General features: G+C 45.2%; 1 annotated feature.

The window, feature by feature from the left end:
• Positions 7,488 to 8,368: an enhancer, noted in NCBI's record as "OCT4-NANOG-H3K27ac-H3K4me1 hESC enhancer chr3:147094929-147095809 (GRCh37/hg19 assembly coordinates)". NCBI's record gives its function as "activates a minimal SCP1, AML or CMV promoter by ChIP-STARR-seq in naive H9 embryonic stem cells {active_cell/tissue: H9 hESC(naive)}" and the evidence as "EXISTENCE:reporter gene assay evidence [ECO:0000049][PMID:30033119]".

Genomic DNA, 8,568 nt, shown 5'->3' with positions numbered 1-8,568 from the left:
TATGCCTGAAGACTGGGAGGCTACAGCCCACATGACACTTCCCTGGGCCCCGATTGAGATATCTGGTGAGTTTTAGCATCCGATGCACGCACACTCTTATCTGGCCCAGCCACTGGGAGACTTATTTCAAATGAATCACCAGAGCCATCTTCCCTCCTCCACTGCGTGGTCACTGGACCTCTAGATACCCGCATACATTGTTGCCTCTGCACCTACTGCTCAGGAGCCACCTCAGTGAGCAGTTCGCCTGACACTTTTTTTTTTTTTTAACTCCTGAGGAGTTGGTTCCCGTGGGCTTGGTTGGAGCAAGGGGCTGGATGGAGTGGGAAGACAACGACTCCTGGGGTGGGAATGCTGGGTCTCCTTAGATAACACACTAGAGACTCAACTCGTAGGGCAAGGGCTGCAGTCCTGGGTAAAACGTTGGGAGAAAGGATCCCGGCGCGCGAGAGACGCGCAGGTGTGATAAAGGAGGCCATGAGGGGAAACCAAGACATGTCCCTGAGAAAGGAGGTCCCTGGGCATTAACACTGGAGTTAGCGCCCCCTCCCGTTCATTTCGCGAAAGGGCCCCCTTCCTCCGTCTCGCGGACAGGTTAGAGGGGCCTCTCCTCGACCCGGCCTCTTTGAGAAACAGCACTCATTAAAGCTCTTTAACCGACTGAGCATTGTGGTGAGGAGCAGGTGGGGATTAGGAATGAACTCGAGACTTCCAGTCAAGGCTTTTCTGGGGCTCGGAGCTCTCCGCTCAATCCTGCTGCCTGGAGTCTTCACAGCTGTGCCTGCCCATGGCTCCAGAGAGGATACCAGCCCTTCTACCGACACCTTCCCATTCCCCCAGGAAAGCCTTGCACGAGAGGGCGCCCAGGAGTTGAGGCCTAAATCATTCCCTAGAATGCAGAGAAAAGACAGGGTGCCCGGGAGACTCCGCTGTCCTTGACATTCCGCGAAAGAGTTTTGGAGAAGCAAAGGCCTGTCTTTGAACCTTCCAAGTTCTAATTGCGAGGCAGTAGAAGAGGAAAGAGAAAGTGCTCTTAGACACCTCAGTGCCCCAGCCACTAGGAGAGGTGAGATTTCCTTTGAGTCATTATTGTTTGGCAGAGTTGAATAGTGTAACCTTTGACAGAGGGTTGAATTTACTGGTCCCCAAGTGCCCTTGGCTAGCCTCACCCTAGAATTATCTCATTTGCTTTCTGGGGAAGTTACCCGCCTCCAACCCTGAACTGACAATGCTCAGGGAAGCTTGGGGGCGCTTTAGTCGGCTAATGATCCCTACACCTCATCCTGCTCTTTTATTCGCTATTCCTAATTAGAGCACCAGGTAGAAACTGTGCTGGCCTGGTGAAAAGATCTTGGATAAGAGGAGGCAGTCTGCCCTCTTGTACACCTACTGTCCCTGTGCCCCTGGATACATGATGAAACGTCTCTGTGCTTCAGTTCCTTCATCTGTAAAATGAAATTAAAATGAACCTCCTTTGCAAGTTTGTTTTGAGTGTTAAATAAGATAATCCTTTAAACATTTAGAATGTACTTGCTAGTGCTAGTTGTTATTACTATTACTTATCTTGGTATTCTGTCTTTCAGAAACATTCCCCTAGCTCCTCACTGAATCAGGTGAATATTTTCAGTCCCTAGCAGAAACTGTGGCGCCCTCAGGAGCCCTAAACTCCATAGCAGCGTGCACCTCCTTCAGGCAATCCGAAGAATAGCTGAGAGCCCCAATGTCACTTTGTTCTCTGAGACTAACTCTCTGAGAAGTTTATTCTCTGAGAGTTCCAGAGCCCAGGGCACCCGGGCACTGAGACAAAAACGTAAATTAGTTTTTAAAGGCACAAGAAAAATTAGAGAGAATTGAGTTTATTTTGGTGAGGAACGAAGCTGAAGAAACCAATTGCCTTAATGTCGCCCCATGACTTGTTAAGACTGGCATTTCAGTAAACACAATGGCTCAGTCTGCCTTGTGTCAATTTATTTTATCATAAGCCTCTGCGGTTTGGGCTTTTCAAGTCTTGGGTGTGTAAGGTGGGAAAATGCGAGTTGAGAGAGGGGGCAGGCAGCTAGGGGGCTGAGGACAGGGTGTTTGGGCAAAAGTCACAAAAAAGTACATTTTTCCCAAGAAGGCATCAGGACATTTTTCACAATCATGATTTTTTTTCTTACTAAATCCTCATTTCAGAAAAATTAATAACATCTTGATCAACAAGTGACTGAAGATCCCAAAATTACGTACTTCACCAACTTCATTTCTAGGCATCAGGATAGGTTTGCCTTTTCACCCAAATATCTCCAATGAGAAAAACAAGCGGGAGATTCCTAGGAATGTTTTGGAGCTCAGAACCCAAAGTCATTCAGGAAAAACAGAAATTCAGTAGACATTTTGAGGAGGTTTTGAGTTTTGTCCCTGAATTGTCCAAATTGCCCAGTGGCTTTGCAAACATCCAAAGCAACTGCATGGATAAGAAGAGAAAGAAAAAAAGTACCTTAGGGCATGGGTACAGGTCAATCTAGTGTAAATGTGACCATGAGGATGCACTTTGAAACTTGTCCTGCCTTCTTCCCCACCCCCCCCTCATTTAGAGCCAGTGTAGACTACGTGAGCCAAAATGCAGGGAAAGCAATTCAAAACAAGGTGAGCAAAGCTGTACATGATCCTGAACTTGAACAGCCTTGGGAAATGTCTGCAGAGAGAATAAAGCAAAATTTAAAAATTACCTATCATCATAGCTGTGACATGTAGTTGTAGAATTGCAAAAATAAGAAAAAATAATCCACCAATAACAACATTAGATGATGTATATAGGCTATCAGAAGGATGATTTGGTTTTCCCTTGTCTATGACTGAAGGCTGGCCCATGTAAGACAGGATTAGCCACATGAGAATAGTATTCTTTGCCAAAAACTAAAGAGAAACTACTGACACCTCAAGGTCCTTGATTTGTGTCATTGCAAGGTCTTACTTAGGGTTTAACAGAGGCCTCTAGCTTTTGAACTCATTAATGTATTCATTAATCCTTTAAAGAGTACACCCAGCATCTCGGTGAAAAATGTTTTTCCTAAAATGTTCATATTTCTAAGCCATGAAAAATAGGCATCTTCCCCCAAAAGATTTGCTTGTTTATTTCCTCTGAGAGAAGTGAGTTGCCTGATGCACATAAGCTGTTCCTCATCACACTTTAGCCATTTTCACCTGATAAAATTGTTTCAAACATACCACAAAATTTTCCCTACATTTCCTGCCACTGCATTTAGTGAGTAAGAAATTTATAGTGAAATGTTTTCTATTGCCCCCAAGGCTGGCAAACTTTCTTTTATAAAAAAAAATAAAATAAAAACCTGTTGTAGAAAAACAGCCTTTTTAAAAGTGTGAATTATCATTTCATTGTAAAAAGTAAAAAAAAAAAAAAAAAAAAAAAGGAATGGTAATCCAACTTCCGGAAACTGTTGTGAATTATTTCACCAGACCCTTTTAAAAGGGGATTAGCAGGGCTTTGGGAGCAAAATCCTTCTGTTTTATTGAATCTCTGATTTTATGTTATAATTGCAAGCTGTAAAGACTCTGGAATTAGTATGCAGGCACTGTCAGGACCGATGCAGGTGCTATTCTAACGGTTCAGCTTTTTAATTAAGAAAAGAGGTAAGAAAATCGAATCATAAAAACACTTTTGTGAGAGCTGAGAACATTGCGGCAACTGCATGAATAAAGCCTTTATACCTTCCCCTGACAGGTCAGCTACTGAGGCTCTGACTTACGACCTTTTCAGGGCCAGACAATAGTTAACAGCTTTCTCACCTTGTCCCCACAGAACCTTTTCTTCTAGGACGGATCTTATGGAAATTGCCTTAATAGCTTCACTTTCACAAAAGATATTGCAGTTAGAATGGATAGAATGGATACATATCCATACTGAAATGCCTGCTCTTCAGTCCCAACTACAGATCTCTTGTTCTCTGGATCCCTTCTCATGGGTGGGGGAGGGTGGTGTCTAGGAGGCACAGAAAGTAGATGAGGGAATAAAATCTGCCCTGAAATAGGCATACAGGGGCACACAGACCCAAGACCAAAATGAACACCCCCACCCCTCCATTCCTGAGAAAATGAAACAGAAAAAAATTCAAAACAACAACAAAAAACAACAACAAAAACAAATCTAAAAAAACACCCAAGTCCTGGGATGCAGGTTGTTCTGGGCTTTTCTGAAGTGGGCTCTTCTTGCAGGAAATAAATTTGGCCTGAACACTCCACAGTGGTTTTGGAGGCAGCCAATCCCAGTGGGGGTGCATTAGTCCTTTGTAAGTTTTTCAGCTCCCTGGTTACCCCGAAGTGTTCTTCACCTGTGAGTAAAATTGTTCTTACTCACAATACTTCAAGGCAAGTTCCCCAGCTGTTCCACCATAGTAAAGCTGGAGCTGCCTCAGCCTTGGAACACTTGACTGTGTTAGACCTGTGGAGGCCCTGCAGCCCCCACTGTTCTCCTGTCTCAGGCTTTGCCACAGTTCGGATCCCAGATCGGGACTCTCAGGGAAGACCACACTCTGCCTTCCTTAGGCCTCACTAAAGCAGGCCCCACCCATCACCTTTTCTTCTCAGACCCTGACAGGGTGTGTGATTGGGGACCTGGTCCACGGCCAGCAGCCCAGGCCTTGCCCTTCCTAAGGAGGCCGGGGCGCGCCTGGGCCAGGCCGAGAACAATGCACGTATTAGGATATCAGCCGCCCTCGCAATGATCACGCGTTCAAAGATTTTGTTTTCACGGCTGAGGGGGCTTTTTTCCAATGTAAATCAAGCGCTTTAGTTATTAGGGCTGAACACTAATCTCCAACAACCTTGACATAATGTGGTCGGGCGCGCCGGCCCACTTCGCACCTGCAGTCTGAATAGGGCTCCTTGTCAATGGGGGACACGCTTGTTGCCCTGGCTTGCAAAGGAGGGAAGTGAATAAGTCAAGCTTTGTGAATGCCCATGCGCTCTCTCCCGCTCTCCTTTGATCACGGAAAATGTCTTCTAATTTGTCCCTTTTTCATTGTAACAACGTTTTCAAGGCCCTTTCTATTTTTCCAAACCACATTTTTATAAAGGACATAAATCGTCCCCCGAAAACAAAAGGGGCGCGTCCTGGCCAACTGGCGCTATCACGCTTCAGCGTTTCACGGTTCCAGAAAGACTGTTGGTTCTTGAGGCTTCCATCTAAGCAAACACTGGGCTAGAAGGCCCCAGTTCTCCAGAGCTCCAGATCTGGGCTTCTGGGAGAAGGATGGCGACAGGGCCCCTTAAAAGGGAATGCAGAGGGCCCCCCTTTTTAGTGGGTGGGGGAGGTAGACAGTCAGAAGGGCAATGGGGTAAGACTCATATACTAGGCACCAAGGGGAGGATGTGTCTTTTAGAGATGTGATGCAGATTCCCTGAACTAACTGGAACTCATCAGGCAGTTTCTGGATGTCATGAAAGTGGAAAGGAGTGATCCACCTTTCTTACACAAGGCAGGTTCTGGCGCTCACTGCACTCTGATCATGGCGTTTTGCAAACTTTTCTTCCCACTTCACACCACGCCCTCAATTGGCTGTAGTCCTGCATTCTCCAAAGAGCCAAGGGAGTTGTGGGGGCATATGGAGGGGCTTCCTGCCCACAGACAATGCCCCAGATCTTTTGTGGGAGGCCGCAGAGTATTTTAGGAAAACTCTCGCCCCATAAAAATCCTACGGGAAAACAAAGGATTAATACCATTTTATACTGGGCGGAGAAGCAACCTCTGTCGGATCTGGCTTTCATTCCTGATGGGAATTCACTCACAGTCTCTCCCCAGGAACACACAGGCATTAATGACGTTGATGTCTCATTTGGTGGGATATTAATTATCGGGTTGCAAATCAATGAGCAACCTCTGCTCCTCCTCCCTCACCTCCACTCCCAACATTGATTCAGTTTGGATTGTCACATGTTTTAAGGACCCTCTTGCCAAGAACACTTTTCTCCTAGCGTTTTAACTTCCTCCCTTTATCATAGAAGATCAAATAATTTTTCTAGTATAGAGATGTCTAAGCCTTCTTTTTTCTTCCTCCTTAGTTATTACTTTAGATCAGGCTCTGGGTAAGAAAACTAACATAACCCACTAATACAGTATAAAACACTTTGATGTCTTGCCAAGAAACACACTTCCTTCAAGAGAGAAGTCAACATTTGTTTTTCACATTAAATGGCATGTAGTTGCCAGTGGAAAAAAAATTCTAAGGACTACTTTTTAATTCGATGGATAGCAACCGCAGGGGTCTAAAAGAAAATAACGACGATAGCTATAGACACAAATAACTAAATTACCAAAACGTTAGTATATCTCCAGGCTTCATTAATATGTAACAGACTCCCCAGTTAATCTCCAAAAGCTAGTGTTCCCCCTGTAAAATAGCACTCTGGGACGAATTGTACATGAGATCAATCACTGCTAACGCAGGAAGGTTTACTGCAGGAAAGAAAAAAAAAGCTATTTACACCTTCAGATAGAAGCTTTTCAGATTTAGGAGTAAGAGCCATACATCACCAAGAATAAATGATTATGAATTGGTAAATGCGCCCTCCAGCGATTAGCTATGCGATGCTATTTATCATTTCTTGGGTGGTGATGATGGTAAAGGGTTTTTTTCTTCCTCTCTTTTTCCTTCTTTTAAAACCATCTGACTGTTTGGAAGGAAAAGATTGACAGGTAGAGGGGAAGAAGAAAAAAAAAACACTGAGGGAAAGTTTGCTTTTGCATATACTATAAGTCATCAAAGCATGGAGGTGCAGGTATAGATGGGGTCATGTACGGAAAGCTTAATAGGACACAATGCAGCCATTTCATTGTTTCGTTTATTATTAGGAGATTATTTGTCTATTGGTGTTGACACCTCAGCAGTTATCATTTTCCCCTCTCCTCTTCTCTTTTTACTCAACACTCCTCCCCACTACATTTCCCCCTTCGTGGGTAGTTTACCATCTGAGAAATGCATTCTCATATCTATTATTATTCTTTTGCCCCTCCTTCTTTTTCTCCTTCCCCTTTTTCCTCTTCCTTCTCCCTCTCCCCCATCCTCCTCCTCCTCCTCTTTCTTTCTTTTCTTTTTCTTTAATTTTTTTAAAGAGGGAACATTCCTTTGTATGCGCGGGGCGCTGCGTGTCTGAGCTGGCGTCCTTGCGCGTGGCAGGGTGTTTGCGCAAGATTACTGCCGGGAGGCCATCCCAGCCACAGTCGTCCAGGGAAACGGCGCTCCAGCCAAGGCACGGGGTCAGGGACTCCTGGGGATCCTGCTTGCTGTTTGCAACACAAAAGCATATGCAGCCCCTAAACATTCCAAGAGAGACAAAGGCTGGAGCCGAGGACTGACTTTAACCCTGGTTGAAACTAACTCACAGCCCACCCCCTTGCCCGATAGAGCTTTGCAGGGTAATGGGGGAGGCTTTGAGACCCGCCTAGGGTCAGGAGCTCTCAGACTTACTTAGGCCCCCGCCTCTCCTGGGCTAGGGATAGGTGGTGGGGCAATTCCTGGTGGTAATGTGAGAATAGGTTCTAATGCAAAATAGAAGGATGACTCACGCCAATGAAAGGCAAGAAAGGGGGTCAGTGATCGCATCTTGGAGCTCAAGCCCTTCAAGCTGCCTGTCTGTCCGCCAGCAATACCGACTTGCCTGATCCTTGACGGGAGAGGGGCGCTAGCTTTGCCTGAGGGTGATAGGAGCGTGAGCAGCGTGGCCAGCTGGGTCGCAAAACACCCAGCAGAAAGAGGCAAGTTAGAGCAAGATTCTATGGTAAGGACTTCAGGAGTCCGGTTCAGTAGATCTGGGACTCATCTGCCCACTCTTTCAAAGAAAGAGTTGGCTACCTGAACATAGCGATGGTCCAACTTTAGCGATGGCCCACCTTTCGCAGCTGAATGGGCTCTATGGGCACGGACATGCTTCAAAGGCCCCAGTGCCTTTGCATCCACACCCACACTTGAGGATGTTGAATGTTTGAACGGCAGAGGAAGGTGAAACTTTGGAGGCCAGTTACTGTGGGCTGCTAGGATAGCCAACTGAAAGAGAAGAAGCCAGTGCAACTATCACACGCTTCCAATGCCACTGCAATTTGGATCTAAGTTGGGTCTAGGGACTGTTTTCTTAGGTTGAAGAGATTTAATACAAGTGGGAGGGGGGTTGTGGCTTTAAGTCTGTCACAGCAGGTAATGTTCCCTAGGGGATATTTCAGATAAAGGTACAGAAGGCCCTGCAGATTATCTCAAGGTTACGAAACAAACTCAGGGCAGTGCCCCATAGGCAGGAAAAGTTCCCATTTCAGGCTTGCATTAGGATTGATTTTTAAAGCTAAAATGTTTAAGAAAAGTATTGTACCTATAAACACAGAAGAAAGAAAGATTCTCTCCTTTCAAAAAAAAAGTTGTTAAGAATAGTTCGAGGCTGAATCTATAGTATCTAATCATGCACTACCAGTTTTAGAACATATTAAGGAACCACTACAATATAAATTTTGATCTGGGGAGTGGGAGGAGACATGAAATGTTTCTAGTTTTCATTTTATGCTTTATTATGCAACTTTTCTTT

Source organism: Homo sapiens, chromosome 3 (genome assembly GCF_000001405.40).
Source record: "Homo sapiens chromosome 3, GRCh38.p14 Primary Assembly".
NCBI lineage: Eukaryota > Metazoa > Chordata > Mammalia > Primates > Hominidae > Homo > Homo sapiens.
Note: the sequence above shows the minus strand (reverse complement) of the source record. Positions and strands in the feature narration are given on the sequence as shown.